The sequence below is a fragment of the Homo sapiens genome, chromosome 15 (assembly GCF_000001405.40).
Source record: "Homo sapiens chromosome 15, GRCh38.p14 Primary Assembly".
NCBI lineage: Eukaryota > Metazoa > Chordata > Mammalia > Primates > Hominidae > Homo > Homo sapiens.
In genome coordinates this window covers 43,202,533-43,222,308 of record NC_000015.10, presented here as the reverse complement: position 1 = coordinate 43,222,308, position 19,776 = coordinate 43,202,533, and the positions used below count along the sequence as shown (strand labels likewise).

General features: G+C 50.4%; 1 protein-coding gene across 8 annotated transcripts in view, besides 1 other annotated feature; it reads left to right on the top strand.

Annotated features, from left to right (window-relative positions):
* The window catches only part of EPB42 (erythrocyte membrane protein band 4.2), a 28,511-nt gene that overhangs the window by 3,429 nt on the left and 5,306 nt on the right, over positions 1 to 19,776 (top strand). The window contains exons 2-13 of one of the 8 annotated variants that reach the window (XM_011521351.3): positions 1,065 to 1,133; positions 1,402 to 1,583; positions 5,856 to 6,041; positions 6,981 to 7,214; positions 10,775 to 10,893; positions 11,870 to 11,974; positions 12,858 to 13,035; positions 13,534 to 13,672; positions 13,976 to 14,079; positions 14,868 to 15,110; positions 15,680 to 15,979; positions 19,034 to 19,194. In XM_011521351.3, the coding sequence (XP_011519653.1) occupies positions 1,484 to 1,583; positions 5,856 to 6,041; positions 6,981 to 7,214; positions 10,775 to 10,893; positions 11,870 to 11,974; positions 12,858 to 13,035; positions 13,534 to 13,672; positions 13,976 to 14,079; positions 14,868 to 15,110; positions 15,680 to 15,979; positions 19,034 to 19,194 (1,869 nt within the window). In that variant the 5' untranslated portion in view covers positions 1,065 to 1,133; positions 1,402 to 1,483. Of the gene's footprint in view, positions 1 to 926; positions 1,134 to 1,290; positions 1,584 to 5,855; positions 6,042 to 6,980; positions 7,215 to 7,641; positions 7,758 to 10,774; positions 10,894 to 11,869; positions 11,975 to 12,857; positions 13,036 to 13,533; positions 13,673 to 13,975; positions 14,080 to 14,867; positions 15,111 to 15,679; positions 15,980 to 19,033; positions 19,195 to 19,776 lie in introns of those variants that run through there. The other 7 variants (XM_011521350.3, NM_001114134.2, XM_011521352.3 and 4 more) reach the window with 7 other exon arrangements.
* Positions 17,724 to 18,018: a silencer, noted in NCBI's record as "tiled region #15360; HepG2 Repressive non-DNase unmatched - State 12:CtcfO". NCBI's record gives its function as "represses a minimal TATA promoter and a strong SV40 promoter by Sharpr-MPRA in HepG2 cells {active_cell/tissue: HepG2}" and the evidence as "EXISTENCE:reporter gene assay evidence [ECO:0000049][PMID:27701403]".

Sequence of the window (19,776 nt, the reverse complement as noted above, 5' to 3'; positions counted from 1 at the left end):
ATTGCAGGTATGAAAACTATTGGCTTCTATACTTTTGGTATTAGCCAGCTCACTAAATTACCTTTTATAATCATTGTTAGTAGATTCAAGTTTTCCAGGTAAAAAATGACATCTTCAAATAATGAAAAATTAACTTCTTCATTTCTTATGAAGGATTTTTTTTTTTTTTTCTGAGATGGAGTCTTGCTCCATGCTGGCTGTGCAGTGGCACGATCTTGGCTCACTGCAACCTCAGCCTCCCAGGTTCAAGCAATTCTTCTGCCTTAGCCTCCTGAGTAGCTGGGAGTACAGGCGCCTGCCACCACGCCCAGCTAATTTTTGTATTTTTAGTAGAGAGAGGGTTTCACCATATTGGCCAGGCTGGTCTCGAACTCCTGACCTCAGGTGATCCGCCTGACTTGGCTTCCCAAAGTGCTGGGATTACAGGCATGAGCCACTGCGCTAGTGAAAGGCAGAAGTTTCATTTTTTTTTTTTTTTTTTTTTTTTACATAATAAGATCCTTCAAATGAGTTCAAAAGTTCAAAGTTTTAAAAGTATAAAAGAGTAAACAGCAGAAAGATAACCTTTCTACCCCACTGCCCAGATCCCCTCCCCACAGGCAACCAATATTTTTGGCAGTGTGTTTTATATCATTCTATAGACGTCTCATGTATATGCAGCAAGTACAGCTGCCCTGAAAGTGCTTCTGGTAACACAGTTTCACAAGCCCAGGTAGGGCCAAATATGAGATCCTTCTCTTGTCTCTTCAGGAACTAAAGAAAGAAAAATTGAAAAGACATAGGGCCTGAGTCCCAAGATAGTTCCCAACCTTCTCTGGTAGAGGGTCCCAGACCAGGTAGGCTTGGAAGAGTTGGGGCCCCAGCTTCTACTTTTAATACATTTATTTTTCACCAACAAATTCTACTTCCTTATCTTTTTCACACAGATAAATTGCAGATGCACGTGTTCTCTCTATTATCAAAACAGCCCATGAACATCTTGCAACTTGCAGCCCCTGTCACGTTTAGGGCCTGAGATTTGGAGTTGGATATGGGACTCCTGTTTGTGGCCTCCTCTCTTCCAGAGTCTTCCAGTGCAGTCCAGATAACATCTCTGAGAGTCTCTTGAGACCACTGAAGCAAGAGGCTTCAAGGTTTGTTCTAGGCTTCTCTAGTTGGCAGGTCTTCCCCATCCCACCCCCTCCCCCAGGGCTGCCAGGCGTATTCCTGCCTGGGCCTCCTGGCACAAGAGATAAAATGAACAGGGTTACTCCCAGTAACTGGTCCAGGAGATACCAGCAGAGAGGGAGTAGGAGAGAAGAAACATGTCAGGGTGCTCACAGGAGTAGTGGGGGGAGGTTTTGCTATTTCCAGATTCTTAAGCCAACAAAAGTGCCTTCATATTTTCTGTCTGGAAGACAGAAAGCCCAGAAGGAGCCCAGAAGCAACAGTTTGAGAGAGGCGCTTTCTGCGGCCAAGTGGATAAGAGGAGCGGCCTGCAACCATGGGACAGGGTGAGCCAAGCCAGCGCTCGACAGGGCTTGCTGGACTGTATGCAGCCCCCGCAGCATCACCTGTTTTCATTAAAGGAAGTGGGATGGATGGTAGGCGGGGAGATGGTGGTATAACTATGGTGGGGGAGGGGGTACTGGTGATAATGAGGTGGCTGTGGGGGGGGGGTGTGGTAGGTGGGTGCTGGTAGAGGTGATAGTGAGCTGGCTGTGGAGCGTGGTGTGATGATGGGTGCTGGTGGAGGCGGAGGCGGAGGTGATGGTGATGTTGCTGTGGGGTGGTTATGGGGTAGCATGTTGGGGTAAACTGGTCATGATAGTTGTATGATGGTGAGATGGTGATGGTGGTTAACATGGATTTATATTCTTATCCCAAGGTCATCATAGCATAAGTGTTCACAGCTTACTGATACAAATGAGAGACACCCTGGGTAGCATGAAGGTGTCACAGCTTCTACACCAAATGGGAGAGAAGGAGAGGAGGGAGTCAGGGAATCCACCTAAAAGGGGCAGAGGCAGACACAAAGCAAGAAACCAACACAGGTGGTCAGAGTCGCAGCACTCTTGGCAGGAATTATTATATCCTGGCCTGGGAATTGCCTGGCTGTTTTGTGTCCTGGGAGAAGCAAGCGGGTAGGCAGAGGGAAATGGTGCAGAGGTGTGGGGACAGTGGGGTGCAGCTGTGGTTCTGTTGCTATAGAAACTGCCTCACTCCCCTGCCCTGGTTGGTCTGGTGTGCGGAGGGCAACTGACGCTGAGACCAACAGCTGAGAAGGGAAGAAAAAGAACTCTGGGTGAATTAAGTCAATAATCTCAGCCACGTCTTGTGAAAATAGGGCAGACACCAATAAATTGTCCTTTTTTTTTTTTTTTTTAAACGGAGTCTCTCTCTGTCACCAGGCTAGAGTTCAGTGGCGCAATCTCGGCTCACTGCAACCTCCGCCTCCTGGGTTCAAGTGATTCTCCTGCCTCAGCCTTCTGAGTAGCTGGGACTACAGGCACCCACCACCATGCCCGGCTAATTTTTTGTATTTTTAGTAGAGACGGAGTTTCACCTTGTTGGCCAGGATGGTCTCGATCTCTTGACCTCGTGATCCTCCGCCTCGGCCTCCCAAAGTTCTGGGATTACAGGCGTGAGCCACTGCGCCTGGCCAAATCGTTCTTTTTATTCTGTAGAGACCAGACAAATTAAAATCTACTCAATCAGAGAAACACAAAGATATCAGGAGATTGTTTAGTCTAGTCCCAAACCAGAGGATGCCCCTGGGCACTAAATTCTTTCCAGGCAGTGGGTGGCAGAGGGCCCAGTAGCCACCAGATGAGAATCACTGAGTATGAACTCATGACATGCTGCAGTGGCTGGAGCTGGCTTGTGCTGACTTGCAAGAGCCAATTGCTAAATTTTGAGGAACCTTGTGAACCAGTTCTTAAACACAGGCATTATTAAAAATTAAATTGTATAAACTTACAAGTAAAAAATTTATATTAAAAAGAAAGATAATAAGTACTCTAAACTCATCACTTCCTACGTATTTTACTCCTTTTTACCTTTATGTTCTTGAGGGCGTTTATGTCTCCTGTATCTCTGTGCTGGAAAAACCACATGATGATGTGCCAGTCCGCGCCTCTTCACAGCTCTGCGCTTGCTGACATCACCTCAGTAGCTTCAGACTGGCCACAGGGGGCGTAGTTTACACAACAGAACTTGGCAAATGCTGTAACTCAGTACGCCCTTTCCCCTCACCGCCCCCTCCCCCCAGCCAGTCGTTAAACACAGAACTGCTTGAGGGGCACATCTGAGGCAGCTCTGGGGTATTGTGAAAGGCAGAGAGGGAGGAGGGTGGGGTATTGTGCACCTCTGAAGAGCATTCCACATGATCTCCGGGTTAACACAACTTCTCATGGGCTGTGGTACAAATAGGAGATGGTGAGAAAACACGAAGGTATCATTGCCTCAAGACCCAGTGGGAGAGAAGGGGAGGCAGGAGTCAATGAATCCACCTAAAAGGGGCAGAGGCAGAGATAAACCAAGAAACCAGGCAGACCTAAAGAATGCAGAAACCTCAGGGGCCCTGCGAGGGTCTGGCAGCACAGGTGGGGGCCTGAGGCCCCTGTGATGTATCTGAGAAAATCTCCTTTAAGGCCGTCTCAATGTTCTCATCCATTCATTGACGGAGCAAACACTGATTGGCTATCTATTGAGTTCTGCTGGGACAGAGGATGCAGATATGAGAAAGCACTGTATCTTGGGGAGCTCACAGTGAAAAGGGGAGCAGAGGACTAAGCAGGTGATGGGTATCAAATGGGATAAGTGCTGAAGAAAGTGGAGCAGAGTACTGTGGGAGTCCAGAGGACTGACCTCTGCCAGGAGGAGTCAGTGAAGGCTACAGAGGTGGGTGCCTTTGGATCTTGGAAGATGAGTAGACATCTGCCAGGTAGAGAAGAGATGGTGGGAGCCTTCTAGACAGAACAAGAATCCAAATGAATTCTAGTGACTCTTGCCGTAACACTATGGTCATTACGTGGGTTCGGATACACGGAGGCTCAAGTCATATGACTTAGGATGTGACTAAGGCATTCCACCATCCAATCCAACTCAACCAGTCTGCAGAGGCAGGGCTTACCCTGGGCCCCAGCACGAGCTTTGTGCTAAGCAGAAAGAGGAATCGTTTTTGGTTTCTGAGTGCTGCTGTACTTCAGTTTACAAATCCCAGCCTCCCCATGGCTACTTTATCTATAGCCATGGCCTGACCAAGCCAAGTGGAGGAGGGGGATACAAGGATGCAAGGGGCACCCAGGGACATGAGGACCAGACACAGAGAGGTTCCTTCCCTCCTCTGCACACTTTCACATTTCTTCATATTCAATAATGTCAGTTCTTTTGCCCTAAATAGACATCATTGGCATCTTCTATCATCCCCATCACCAGTGAAAGAAAAGTAGAACATCCTTCCCCTCTACTCTTCAGCTCTAAGTCAGAGAGACTGGGAATTGAGGAAAATTTGAAGTAGGAGTATCCTGAATTTGACAAGATCCGTCTTGTAGTCTAAAGGACCTTGCTATCAGGGTCATATCACTTCCCTGAAGTGGGTTAGACCTCATTTCATACCTGTGAGCAAAAGCCATAGTTTCTCTCTTGTGGCAGTTGAGCCAGTGCAAAAACTGCAGGCTGCCTTTCAGACCAAGGAGATTCCCAATGGCCTTCTGCTATTAAAGGAACAAAAAGTACACAATTCCTTTGCTGCAAAAACAAAACAAAACAAAAAAACCAACTTTTTTTCCAGCATTGTTCCTTATCTTGCGCTTGCTGAACATATCTTTTGACTTCTCTACTCCTTGTTTTTTTCTTCCCTCTTGTATTAGTCGGTTCTCACACTGCTATAAAGACATACCTGAGATGGGGTAATTTATAAAGAAAAGAAGTTTAACTGGCTCATGGTTCTGCGGGCTATACAAGCTTCTGCTCCTGGGGAGGCCTCAGGAAACTTACAATCATGGCAGAATGTGAAGGGGAAGCAAGCACATCTTCACATGGCTGGTGGGAAAGAGAGAGAGAGAGTGAAGGAGGAGGTGCTACACACTTTTAAACAAGCAGCACTAGGGGGATGGTGCTAAACCATTAGAAACTGCCCCCATGATCCAATCACCTCCCACCAGGCCCCTCCTCTAACACTGGGGATTACAATTCGACCTGAAATTTGGGCAGGGACCCAAAGCCAAACCATATCACTTCTGTTAAATGAGAATTGATTAACAGACTGTTGTAATACTCTTGAGCCACCTCCGTGAAGGGTTTTTCTGGGCTGCATAGAGCTGTGAGTTTATAGTAAGACTTTAGGTCAAAAAGCTACCATGCACAGTCTTGGGTGAGACAGTTCCACACTCAGCCTCACTCTTCTCATCTATAAAACAAGAGAATTGGACTCAGTGATCTCAAAACTAGCTCTAAAAATTATCTGATTGTGCTCTAAGAAAAAATGAGTAGGTGCGAGAAAGATTTTGGGTTTTATTCATTGCTTGTGGATTGGGACCAGAAAAAGGAGGCCAACAATGAGAGTAAGCAACGCACTTATTAATAATAATAACAACAACAACAGTTTCATTTAATGGGACTTACTGTGTATCTGACACGGCTAAATGTATTGTACATCATCTAATCCCCACAACTCTGAAGGGAGGGATGATTATTCTAAGGAAAAGGAAACTGAGGCTCAGGGTGGTTAAGTTACTTGCCTGGGATTGCGCAGCTAAAACGTAAGTGGAGCCGAGGATTAGAACCCTGGTCTCTCTGACTCCAGAATCTCTGCTTGTACTTACATTGTCACATGTACTTAGTTTCCGTGACTTCTCTCTTTCCCACAACAGCCCTGGGTATCAAGAGCTGTGACTTTCAGGCAGCAAGAAACAATGAGGAGCACCACACCAAGGCCCTCAGCTCCCGGCGCCTCTTTGTGAGGAGGGGGCAGCCCTTCACCATCATCCTGTACTTCCGCGCTCCAGTCCGTGCATTTCTGCCTGCCCTGAAGAAGGTGGCCCTCACTGCACAAACTGGTTAGTGAGTCAGGCCTAGACTCCTTTGGCAGCAGGCCTGGGGGGTTCTCTGTTCTCTCCAGCACCCTGTTAGGGAATCAAGGGACAAATGGCCCACACTGCAGCTGGGCCGTAAGAAGTCCTGCCCACCTGGCAGGGCAGTCATGAGGGTGCCACGAGATTATGTGCCTGGTAAATATTGTTTATGATGACTCAGAAGCTGCCTAGCAGCAGCATCACCAAGAGCTTCTTTTCAGTTGCAAATATAATAGTAGCTTTGTAGAAAATTCTGGATGGGGCCGGGTGTGGTGGCTCACGCCTGTAATCCCAGCGCTTTGGGAGGCCGAGGCGGGTGGATTACCTGAGGTCAGGAGTTCAAGACCAGCCTGACCAACGTGGTGAAGCCCCGTTTCTACTAAAAATACAAAAAATTAGCCAGGCATGGTGGCCTATAATCCCAGCTACTGGGGAGGCTGAGGCAGTAGAATCACTTGAACCCAGGAGGTGGAGGTTGCAATGAGCCGAGATCGTGCCATTGCACTCCAGCCTGGGCGACAAAAGCAAAACTCCGTCTCAAAAAGAAAGAAAGAAAAAGAAAATTCTGGATGGAATCGAACCCAGGCTAAATACAACATTTAATTGCTACTGTTTATTGAATCCATACTACCTGTCAGATGTATGCAAGTACTTCACATGCAATATTTCATTCAGTCCTCCCATGGACCATGAAGAAGTTACTATTACAATGCCCATTTTATAGACTGTGATGAAGGTCCATGGGTGCCAAAAGCCTTTGCTCTCCTATCACTCTTTCTTGATGGGCCTCATTTCTAGGTGGGTCACTTTCATTATCCTCCAAAAACAAATTTCACCTGCTCCATCTTTGTAATACCCTGACCTTATTACTCTGAGTTGTGACCAAGAAGTCCCAGTGACAGACTAATCACCGTGTGACTACAGGAGAGCAGCCTTCCAAGATCAACAGGACCCAAGCCACATTCCCAATTTCCAGTCTGGGGGACCGAAAGTGGTGGAGTGCAGTGGTGGAGGAGAGAGATGCCCAGTCCTGGACCATCTCTGTGACCACACCTGCGGACGCTGTCATTGGCCACTACTCGCTTCTGCTGCAGGTCTCAGGCAGGAAGCAACTCCTCTTGGGTCAGTTCACACTGCTTTTTAACCCCTGGAATAGAGGTAAGTTTGGACCTGGGCCAGCCTGGGCTGCATGGAGACTCCAGACACTGGAGCTGGGGTGCAGCTCTGGCAGGGAGCACCTGCACCAGGCCCCTGTGGCAGCCCTCTCTAAGGACAGCACCAACACCCAGTCTGTGCCAGGGCTTTCTCCCTGAATGAACCAGCTCTCAGACCCAGGGTCCTGTTTTGGTGTCACCCCTGGGAGAAGCAGGTTGAGCCTTCCCACTGAAAGCAAAAGCTTGTCTCACCACCAGACCCTGGTGCTGGCTCAGGCTATTTTGGTCACAGGAGTTGAGACTCACTGAGATGACCCTGGGAAAGCTGCCCTTCATTATAACAGTGCAGGGGTGAGAACTGGAGAGGGCCTCGGGAATGAGGTGGCCTGAGGATGGGCTTCTCTCTCTCTCCCCGGCTATTCTGTTTCCAGAGTGCACTCAGGCTTTGCAGGACCTGAAGCTGATGCAATCTGGGGGACCCTCTTTAAGAAAAAGAATATACCATTTTGAATTGATAAGGCTCCCCGGCCGACCAGGGCCCCAAGAGGTCTGTGTTATTCCACAAGCTTCTGCTTCCGCTTCCCAGAAAATCTACACTTCCCTGTCTTTGCTCCTCTCTTCCGGCTCATTCTGTTCTTGCAGATTGCTGGGCGCTCTCCAGACCCCCCTACCCAAGGGTCTGACAGGACCCTACGGTTCACCAGACTATGAGCGGCTTCCCTGGGGTCAGGTGACCTGCTGTGCCCCGCCCCCCCAACCGTGGCCACCTCTAGCAAAGCTCAGCCCTAGCTGTGGCTGGAGCTGTGTCGTCTAGAAATGGCCATCTGACATAATACATGTCCAAATAAGACCCAAAGTAGGACCCATCTTCTCTTCCTCCCCACTCTGAAGATTGTGTCTGTCTTTGCTTTTAAATCTATCTCACCCACCTTCAACCTTGGGCTCCCTGAAGGGTTTGTTGGGAGAATGGAAAAGAGTTTCTCCCGGCTTTCCTGTCTTTACAACATCAAACGAGTACATAGCCCTTTTCCTCTCAAGAGTTTTGCTGCCAGCCTGAAGGAGGCCCCGTGGCAAGGCAGGGCTGGGAAACTGACGGAAACATGGGGAGGTGGAAGAACCTTCCCAGGTTCTTAAGCCTGGCCTCATGTCTGGCCCGCAGCTCCTGACTGCTTTTCTCTGTGGTACCTAAATCCCAGTGGGTTCTCTCTCCACTTCTTCTGTCCAGGGCAGCGTTCTCCCCGACTTCAGGTGGCCCCACCTGTCCTCAGCTCAGGCCCTTATTTCCTGCTCCAAGGGCGCAGGCAGGTGGATCAGCAGATGGGAGCTAGTATTCATCCAGGTGCCCCACGTGGTTGAATGTAGATGCAGGGCCCCTGGGCTGGGGGAGGCCCTTTGACTTTCCATGACTGGCAGAAAGCCCTTCAAGCTGCTTCCCTCCGAAGCTGAGGCATTGGTGTACCCCCAGATCACCCTGAGTCTGCTTCCAGAGCCAGGCCCTGGTGACCGCCATAAAGACCCAGCAAAGAGTTCTAGGACAGTGCTTGGCTCAGGGTGCCCACACTCTTGACTCCAGTGCCAGGAGTCCTGCCTTTGTGCTCAGTTTGTAGGGACCTGCCTAGGGAGGGCCTCTCTGCCTGAGTGTGGGTGGAGGTCTCTGTCTGGGCAGGGGAGAGTCATTGGCTCCGCTCATCTGGGAGGTGACTGAGAAGTTTTCAGATTCCCTGGCATCTCAGTGTCATCTTGCCATGCTTGGAGATGGGGATTCAAAATGAAATTTTACATCATTTTACATCCTATGATAAAAGTTGGAGCCCTGCTCACAGGCCAGGCACTTTATAAAGGGGGCTACATACACCCAAGCAGAGAGGAGGAGGCTGGCACTGCCCATGCTCTCATAAGCTACTTCCTAGAGCCCTGTAGATCCTGGGGCCAAACACCTCAGTTTGAAGTAATTTCCAAAAAAATAAAAAATAAAAAACAGTGATGCCTAGCTGACTTCAGAGAGTACTCAGGATGGAAGGCAGGAGTGGAGGGCTCCTTGGGCATATGGGTCTGTAATTTTAGGCCCCAGATTTTTCAGGGCTTCCTCATTTCTGGTGTCTTATCCTTCTGTTGCCTTCAGGACCCTCATCCCCAGATGGATCCCTGGAGGGCTCCAGAGAGGTTAGCCTAGCAGCTCCTCTGGATGATTTGGAAATCCTTTTCTCTCTGTAGTCCCCAGAAACTAGTCTAACCCCTGTCCACTCCACCTCGGCCACTGGGTCAGAGTGATTAGCCCTAAGCAGTTGCCCTCCTGCTTCTAGCTTCCCAGAATGGGTGATGGCCCCAAAGTCGCCCACCCTCCTCATGATTTCCAGCCCAACCCTAGGATGAGGAAAGCAGGAGGGGCACCGGGAGGAGACTGAGGGAGCCCTAGACTCACTTGGACACCCCCGGGGCAGAAATCCAATGTTCTGACTTCCACCTCTCAACCCCGCTGCTCCTTCCAACCCTCCAACCCTGTTTTGCCAAATGCTCCTCTTCCCTCTGCTTACATCCGTCAGCCTATGCTTAATTGTCTTTTTTCTGAAACACCTGTTTTTGGTCACAAATTGAATTTGTGGGAAAGACATACAAGCCATTGGGAAGCTCCCTGGCCTGTTGCCAATTTATCCAGGGACGATAGTGTTCTGGCTGTGAACGACTAGGATTTTCTTTTTTTTTTCTTTTTTCTTTTTTTTTTTTTTTTTGAGACGGAGTTTCACTCTTGTTGCCCAAGCTGGAGTGCGATGGCATGATCTCAGCTCACTGCAGCCTCCGCCTCCTGGATTCAAGAGATTCTTCTGCCTTAGCCTCCCAAGTAGCTGGAACTACAAGCACGTGCCACCACACCCACCTAATTTTTTGTATTTTTAGTAGAGACAGGGTTTCACCATGTTGGTCAGGCTGGTCTTGATCTCCTGACCTCAGGTGATCCACCCGCCTCAGCCTCCCAAAGTGCTGGGATTACAGGCGTGAGCCACCACGCCTGGCTGGTTTTCATTTTTTTTTAAGAGAAAGTCTCTCACTCTGTCACCCAGGCTGGAGTGCAGTGGCACCATCATAGCTCATTGCAACCTCAAACTCCTGGGCTCAAGTTTCCTCCCGCTTCAGCCTCCTGAATAGCTAGGACTACAAGTGCGTACCACCACACCTGGCTGTTTTTTTTTTATTTTTTGTAGAGACAGAGTCTTGCTGTGTTGCCCAGGCTGGTCTCGAACTCCTGGCCTCAAACTGTCCTGCTTTGGCCTCCCAAAGTGCTGGGATTATAGGCGTGAGCCACTGCACCTGGCCAGCCAAGCTTTTTAAGGTTGTTCTTGTCTTCCTGGCTGACCATAAAGGCCACACCCTGATTGACCCAGGGACTCTGGGCTGGGTCCCAGTGGGGGCAGTGAAAGAGGGACTTCCTCCTCAGTCTTCATTAGGCCCAGAGCTGACGGGGTGGCCTGCAGCCAAACCTAATCTCGGCAGGGAGGACAGAGGCCTGGATGTGGAGGGTGGACCTAGGACCCCCACAGGCCCTCATCCCTACCCACCTCTCACCAGAGGATGCTGTGTTCCTGAAGAATGAGGCTCAGCGCATGGAGTACTTGTTGAACCAGAATGGTCTCATCTACCTGGGTACAGCTGACTGCATCCAGGCAGAGTCCTGGGACTTTGGCCAGGTACCAGGGCCCTCTAGGGGAGGAGTGTGTAGAGTGACTGTCCCATAACCTTGCATGTTGAGGCTAGACAGAGCTGGTAGGTCCAAAAACCCCTGGTCATGAGACCATTTCTTTAGCCCATTTCAGCTTTGTGGTGCCTCTCCTTCCTCTGGGCCATATCAGAACATCCTCCGGGAGCTCCCAGAATTATTTTCCTTAAAACTGTGGCAAATCAAGCCCCAGTTACATCCCCACTGTCTTTGAGATAAAGACCAAATCCCCCTAGCCTAACATCCACGGCCCTTCCAGCCAGGACCCTGCTTTCCTTTCCCCATGAACCGCCCCATGTTCCAACTCCTCACCATCCTCAGAGCAACAGGCTGAACGTTCCCTCTGCCAGGAAGGGCTTCCCACTCTTATCTCCTGGCAAGCTCCTACCCATCTCTCAAGACCTTCTCGAAGCCTTCCCCAATCCCCGAAGGCAGGGGGAGCCTCTCCACTGTGCTGCTCTGTGCCGGCATCTCTACAAGAGCCCTGGCCATGCTGCTGTGCTCTGTAATCTAAGGGGCTGCACTGCGTGTCCATCTCCAGTCCTAAACCGTGGGCTCCTCAGGAACAGGAGCTGCCTCGGTATCCTCCACTCCCGGTTCAGGGCTGGTAGGACAGTCAGGGTTCACTAAATGGAAATGGAATGCAGTGCAATGAAACGAAACAGTACAGCACGGGTCCCCGAGAGCTCACACCCTACCGGGAGTCAGACAACAGATAGGCAAAGGACTGGATGCCTGGGAAAAGGAACCCAGGTCCCATTGAGAGGTTGGGGGAGGGAGCCAGAGCTCCTCAGAGGGATGAGGCAAGGGAGGCAGGTGTGGAGTGCGGGTCTGGGAGAAGGACGAGATGATGAGGCTGTCCTGCAGGATGAGTGCCTGACCTGGGGACCCTTCCTCATGGCCCTGTGTGGGGACCCTTCATCATGGCCCTGTGTGATCCTTAACAGTTCGAGGGGGATGTCATTGACCTCAGCCTGCGCTTGCTGAGCAAGGACAAGCAGGTAGAGAAGTGGAGCCAGCCGGTGCACGTGGCCCGTGTGTTGGGTGCCTTGGTAAGCGAGAGGCTGGGGAACCAGAATGGGGCAGGGGTGAGAAAAAAGCCCTCTGAGAGACCTGCCCCACCACCGTGGCCTCAGAAACCCCCAAATCACAAATGGCCCCCTCCTCCCAGGGTGTGGGGACAGTTCCTACAGAAGCGTCCGAGGAGGACAAAAAGACAGGCAATAGCATCCACAGCGGGGAGAAAAGCAAAGAAATGTGTGATCCCTCAGGATGCAAGCCCGCAGAAGACTAAGCCTCTTTTCCCTCCCCACACCCAGTCCCATCCTGGAGCTTAGGCCCATGGGAAGGAGTGGGTAGGGCCCATCTTACCCAGGGCTTGCTGCTGCAGTGATCGAAGGGACTTCTTTTATACTTCTAAATTATTCATAAGAATATGCAGACCATGATGGTAACTCGGTGCTTTTCCTTGTCCCTAAAAATCCTCTCAGAGGAGTCATGTGTTCACCATTCCCTCTTTGCCGCTGAAGTCCCCTCTGAAAAGATGGTGAGAGTCCAGGCCAGCCTGTGAGTTGAAAGAAGCTTGGGATAAGTGGCCTCCAGGACCCAGGTGCAAAGCACCTCAAACGAGTCAGGGTGGAGGACTAAGAACCGGTGAAACCAGCCCCCAAGGAAGGGCAGCTCTAATGCTCCTCTTTGTGGCTGGAGCCAGAGAACTTGTTAAGAAGGAGGGTCCTGGGCTCCAGCCCTAGAGCTATGACCCAGGGGCCTAGGATGGAGCCCAGAAGCATGCAGGTTTAACCAGTACCAGGTGGCTCTAATGCTGGGGATCTGTTCACCATGGTTGGAGTACTGTGATGAGCCCTCCTTACCCATGCCCTGGAAGCTGTCCTGCCCAAGGGACTCATACTGACATCCACACATTTCCCCAAACAGCTGCATTTTCTCAAGGAGCAGAGGGTCCTGCCCACCCCGCAGACCCAGGCCACCCAGGAAGGGGCCTTGCTGAACAAGCGCCGGGGCAGCGTGCCCATCCTGCGGCAGTGGCTCACCGGCCGAGGCCGACCTGTGTATGATGGCCAGGCCTGGGTGTTGGCTGCTGTTGCTTGCACAGGTTGGTCCCCTTGTCTCCTGTAGAGTGCCCTGCCTCCTGGGTTGTTCCCTGGCCTCCCATGTGGGAAGGACATCTCCAAAAGCAGGTGCTGCCTCCCTGCGGCCGCATTTCCCCATCTCATCACACAGAAGTAGTTGTCCCAGGCAGCTCCTCCCGCCAGCTTCTGCTGCTTTTCCCCTCAGCAAAGTTGGGCTCATTTGCAAACTCCTTTCCCAAATTCACTTACTTCCCTAACCCTGCCCTAGCAGAGCAGCCCCGCAGCGCTGTGTTCTATGCTCTGTTGCCTTCTCCCCTGGTATATGCCCCGCATGCGGTGGAACCTGTGCCTTATTGATCAGCCTTCATGCATCCTGTTCTTGGCTGCCACTTCTAGGTTCCTGCACTCCTCTTCTTTCCAAGTTTTCAGTGCCCAGAGGAGACACTGAAAATCCTAGCCTCCCACACGCCCCCAGCCCGGTCTCTCAAGCGCCCCCTGACACTCCGCCCCTCTTCTCACAGTGCTGCGATGCCTGGGAATCCCTGCCCGCGTGGTGACCACGTTTGCCTCAGCACAGGGCACCGGTGGGCGTCTTCTCATAGATGAATACTATAATGAGGAGGGACTTCAGAACGGAGAAGGCCAGAGAGGCAGAATCTGGTGAGAAGCCCAAGGGAGATGAGGTTCCAGTCCAGGAAGGGCTCCAACCCTGCATAGCACACCTCTGCAGGAGCCCCACCCCCTGCATGGCCCTGGCATGGAGAGTAGGCTTTCAAGACCCTTAGAGGCGGCGCTGATGGTCAGTGATGGTGTGCACGCCCCTTCCTGGGAGTGCCACAGCCACTTTGACACAGTGACCTCCCATCCCACTGGAACAACAACAGCTCTGCCAGGCTGCATTTCCAGAACCTCTTCAGCACTCGTTTTCTTTCCCACTTGAATTTTTCTCTTTGCTGCATTCAGGATCTTCCAGACTTCCACAGAGTGCTGGATGACGCGGCCTGCCTTGCCCCAGGGTTATGATGGATGGCAGATTCTGCACCCAAGTGCTCCTAATGGAGGTGGAGGTAAAGCCTAGGGGTGGGTCCAGGACCACGCAGGGCTGCACAGAGCTGAAGTCCCCAGAGAGGACTCGGGAGCAGCAGGCAGTCCCAAGGGGGTCTGCATCCTCGAAAACAGTAGAAGCACGAGGCATGACAGCAGCCAGCAGAAAGCTGACCTGATGCCAGTGGGCTCATGGGAATAGAGGTGCCTGCTATCCCGGCTACAAGGCTGTAGGTAGATGAGGCACCTTAGAGCTGTGGGTGAGGGAGTTGGGTCACAGTGAAGGGCAGAGGATCTTAAGATGGCAAGTGGCTGTGCTAGGCCAGGGGCTTACAGCAGAGGTTCTGAGGTTCTGGACACGGATGAAGAGGGCATCGGGATAGGCTCAAGCCCAGAAAAGGAAGCTTCAGGACCCACAAAAAGATAGCTCTTCCTCACCCAGGAACAGAAATGGCACAGAGCCTGGCACCTAGTAAGTGCTCAAGAAAGGTAGCCCTATTCCTGTCATATCCATAGTAAAGCTGGCTTGAGAGCTCCTCACGCTAAATATGACCCTCTGAGCTTCTGCCTGTCCAGTTCCTGAGAGGGCTTCTGCCAGGGACCATGACCAAAAAGTTTTATCACTAAATAGTTGATCACTAAATAGTTTCACCTCTGTGACTCTCTCAGAAACCCTGCCTAGTGCTCACCTCTGACCTTGGTCCTCGTGGAGGGAAAATAGGCTAGAGGATGGGGACTGAGGTTACGCAGTTCTGAACTGAGCAGAGGTCTAGGCGCAGCTCCCATGCTCACCAACCTTTCTCTCCCTCAGTCCTGGGGTCCTGTGATCTGGTGCCGGTCAGAGCAGTCAAGGAGGGGACGCTGGGGCTGACCCCAGCAGTGTCAGACCTTTTTGCTGCCATAAATGCCTCATGTGTGGTCTGGAAGTGCTGTGAGGATGGGACACTGGAGTTGACTGACTCCAACACAAAGTATGTTGGCAACAACATCAGCACCAAGGGTGTGGGCAGTGACCGCTGCGAGGACATCACTCAGAACTACAAGTATCCTGAAGGTACGGGCCAGGGAAGGGCCCCAGGCTTCTCGGTACCTGAAACGGCAAGCGAGGGAAAGGGATGGGCCTGGTAGATGCAGCCAGAAAGAGACTTGTCCTTTCCGCATCATATAAAACAGGGTTTCTCAACCCCATTTGACACCATTGACATTTGGGCCCAGATATGTCTTTGTTGTACAGGCTGTGCACCCTAGGACATTTAGCAGCATTCCTGACCCTCAGAGGAAGTCTAAATTCTTTCACATAGGAAAATTCAGTTCCCTGCAAAACTGTCCTCAGAGACAGTGTTGACTTGTCCCCAACCTTGCTCTCTCATCATTCAAGGGGAGAATTCATAGCACTTGAAAAAGAACTTGGTCCTTGAGTGGTTTGGAAGAGACACACTGTATCGGTGGTGGAGCTGCCTGACACAGACATTTTTGGGCTAAATATGGCCTTAGAGGCTTGCTGAGTTCTTGTGACTTTGGCATTTGAGCAGAAGTGGGTAAATGGTTTTGATTCCCAGGGTTTTATTAGAAGCATTTATACCACCCGGGTAAAAGGTCAGCTTTGTTTCTTCCCTTCTCCAGGGTCTCTTCAGGAAAAAGAGGTGCTGGAGAGAGTCGAGAAAGAGAAAATGGAACGTGAGAAAGACAACGGCATCCGTCCTCCCAGTCTCGAGACTGCCAGTCCTCTGTACCTGCTCTTGAAAGCACCCAGCTCCCTACCCCTGAGAGGGGATGCCCAGATCTCAGTGACGCTGGTTAATCACAGTGAGCAGGAGAAGGCAGTGCAGCTGGCAATTGGGGTCCAGGCTGTACACTACAACGGTGTCCTTGCTGCCAAGCTCTGGAGGAAGAAGCTGCACCTCACGCTCAGTGCCAACCTGGGTAATGCTCTATGGCCCCACCAGACACCCCCCGACACACACACACACATGGCCCCTGCCTTGGGCAGGCAGCAGCCACAGGGCACCCCCTGCAGTCTCTAGAGATGGCTTTGAGCCCCTGCTGCTCACTCTCATGTTCTCTCTCATTCATTCATTCAACACATATTTATTGGGCCTGAAGCAGGAAAAAAACACGATGCCAACTGCAGTCAGATAAGTAAACAGACCCTTCGTAGCAGTGTGAGAAGTGTTTGCTGAGTTTAACAGAGTACAGTGGCAGGAGAGCACCTCCCCCCAGGCTGGAATAAGCTGCCCCCAAATAAATTGTACTGCATGGAATCTGGAAGGATGAGTAGGAGAGTAATGGCCAGAAAAGTAAGTCTTGGCATTCCAGACGGAAGGAGCAACGTGTGCAAAGGGCCCTGCTCATCCCTGAGGTTCTTTCTTAATTGGTCTGAGATGGGGTCCAGGTATTGTTTTTTTCTTTTTTTAACACCCTGTGTTATTCTACAGTTAAGATTCCCTGAACCAGAACAATTGTTTTTAAATTTTGCTGCACATTAGAATCACCTGGGGGAAGTTTGATGCTCAGCCTGCATCTCAGGCCAATTAAATGACAGATTCTATGGTGGGCTGGACGCAGTGGCTCATGCCTGTAATCCCAGCACTTTGGGAGGCCAAAGTGGACAGATCACCTGAGGTCAGGAGTTCAAGATCAGCCTGGGCAACATGGTGAAACCCCGACTCTACTAAAAATACAAAAATTAGCCAGGCTTGGTGGCACACAACTGTAATCCCAGCTACTGGGGAGACTGAGGCAGGAGAATCGCTTGAACCCAGGAGGCAGAGGTTGCAGTGAGCCAAGATCATGCCACTGCACTCCAGCCTGGGTGACACAGTGACACTCCGTCTCAAAAAGAAAAAAAACAAAAACTCCATGGTGGAACACATCAGAATTTTTAAAAACTGAAGTAATTCCGATGTGCAGACAAGTGTGAGAATCAGTTGACGAGAGCTTGTCTACAGCATTGCAACAGCCTTCTAACCGGTCACCTCACCTCCAGTCTCTGTATCACTCTTCCCTTTCCAAGCATGGGAGGAGTGGAGTTGGGAGAGTGGCGTGAGAACTGGACAGGGCCCAGGTGACACAGGGTCTTGTCTCTCTTGCTAAGGAGTTTGAGTTTTGTTCTCTGGGTAATGGAAAACTGGTGGAAGGTTTCAACCAGGGTAGTCAATGGAATCAGAAATTCATTTTAACAAGAAAGAACTTTTGGCAGAATGGAATGGAAGGGGTCATATAAGAAGAGTGCTTCTTAACCTTAGCTGCACATTGAGTCATCTTGGGAACTTTTTTTTGGGGGGGGGGCGGAGGGGGCAGCCTTCTGAGCCAGAGTAGGTTCAGAGACTCCGATCATCTGGGGAACTTTTAAAAATACTGATGTCTGGGCTTCATCGCCAGAGTCTGATGTAACTGATTTGGGGTGTGGCCTGGCATTGGGATTGTTTTGTAAAGCTCCCCACTTGATTCTAACATGCATCCAGTCTTGAGAACCACTGGATTGAAGATGAGAAGGTTGTGTAAATCATCAAGTCAAGAAATCAAGGCCAAACTAAGCTAGCAGCACTTAGAGTTAAAACATATTAAGGAGTTGAGATAGATGGGGCTTGTGAATGTGTGAATGTGTATATGTGTGTGGTGGGTGCTTCTGGTTTGGGTGAGTCACTAGAATAGGAAAAATGGGGAGGAGCAAGTTTGGGGAGAAAAAGGATGGATTTGGTTGTGGCACATTGTGTCTGAAAGCCCGTGACACACGCAAGTGGAGCTGGCCAGCAGGTGGCAGGAGACCTTGGTAAGATAAAGTTCTGGGCTGGAGCTCAGACGTGGAAATCCCAGCACAGGGGGGCCAACAAAGAGTCAGGGCATAGATGAGCTCATGGCAGTGGGGAGAGGTCAGTGAGTAGATGAGAGGGTGAGGAGGGAACCCAGCAGCAGCAGCAGCATTTAGGGGGCGATCAGAGGAAAAGCAGAGTAAGGGAGGTCAAATAGTCAAAGAAAGGGGGCACCCAGCAAGGTCAGCAGAAAGGGCACGAGGTGTCAAGGCTGAAAAGCACCATTAAGAGAGTGGACTTACAGAGAAGCTTCCTGGGCGTTAAGCCAATTGCGTTGGGAAGGTGAGACAAACTGTCTAGTCCTCCCTGGAGGCATGACAGGAAAAGGTGAGGCTGGGGAGTAGTCAGCCAGGGACACTGGGCAGAGGGAGAGAGTTGAACCTGCTTCTATGCTGAGGAAAATAAGCAGGCAAGAGGGAAAGAATGGAGCCTCAGGAGAGATGGGTTAAAATTGATAGTGCTATGCTTGGGGATATGAGACAACTAGAATAATTGTAGCTCACATTTATCAGGCACTTACTATTTGCCCAAAATGGTGTTAAGTGCTTTATATGCATCATATGCATCATCTTGTTAGCCCTCACAACCACGTTCTGTGGCAAGAACCATTGCTATCCCCACTTTACAGATGAGGAGATGAGACACAGAGAGGGTCGTTAATTTACTCAGGGTTACACAGCTAGTGTGATGGGGTCAGGATGGGGCACAGATTTAGAAAGCAGAGGATTCAACTTAGGCAGGGGGGATACCTCATCCCCTGAGCAGTAGTGACAGTAGGAGTAGATATTTCTTCTGTAAGGTGACAAAGCGAGACCCTGTCTCTAAAACAAAACAAAAACCCTACAAACAACACAAACCATCCCACTAGGTAGGCATTATTAGACAAGGACACTGAGGCCGAAAGAGCTTAACTTGTTCCAGTTCACAGGGGACCCTTTCCCAACCCCACTGAGGTGGTCTGCCAAGAGCATTGTCGGGGTTGGTGATGGGGATGAGGGTGAGGAGTGAGGTCTTGAGTGAGTTCCAAGTGTACAATTGCTGGGGAAAATGGTGCATCTTTCTGGCCTCAGTGAGGCCCTGAGTCCTTTGTATTGTGTGTGTAACTATGGCTGTTTCTGGGGTACATACACCTGTTGCCACTGACTCCACCTGTCATGTGTTTCAGAAAAGATAATAACCATCGGCCTGTTCTTCTCCAATTTTGAGCGAAACCCACCCGAGAACACCTTCCTTAGACTCACCGCCATGGCAACACACTCTGAATCCAACCTTAGCTGCTTTGCTCAGGAAGACATTGCCATTTGTAGACCACACCTTGCCATCAAGGTAGGCACCAGTCCTCCCCTGAGTTGCCCTCGTCTGCCACCACTCAGGTCCCCATTTCAGAAGGAATCCAGGCCCCTTCAGAGCAGATGACTGTGCTGCAAGATTACCAGAAAATGCTACATTTAAGAGCTCCTTCCCTTGAAAGACATAGTTTCTTACATGCCCTATTAAGGTTTAAATCTTCCAACTTCTTTAGTTAAGTAAAGGTTTCTAAAATTGGGGCCTTCCCAGTTACTGCCTCCTACCTACAGGGATCATAATAGCCTATGTTTATTTAGCACCTCATACACATGCCAGAGGATTTTCAGCTCCTTTATTTCTTTCTAAGCCCTGTGAGGTAGAACTGTTCCCATTATTCAGATGAAAAAAGTGAGCCCTAGAGAGCAACATGCCCAAGATTATAAAAACAGGAAGTTCTAGAGGCTTATGGCTCTTGGTCCAGCCCTCTTTCCATGTGTCTACCCTGGCCAAAATGAATGAGATCTGATCCCTGCCCGCAAGCAGGTTATAGTTTAGTTAGGGAGACACAACATTTGGTCTTCCAGATAAGTGCTTTAATAGATGCACAAAGTTGCTATGGAA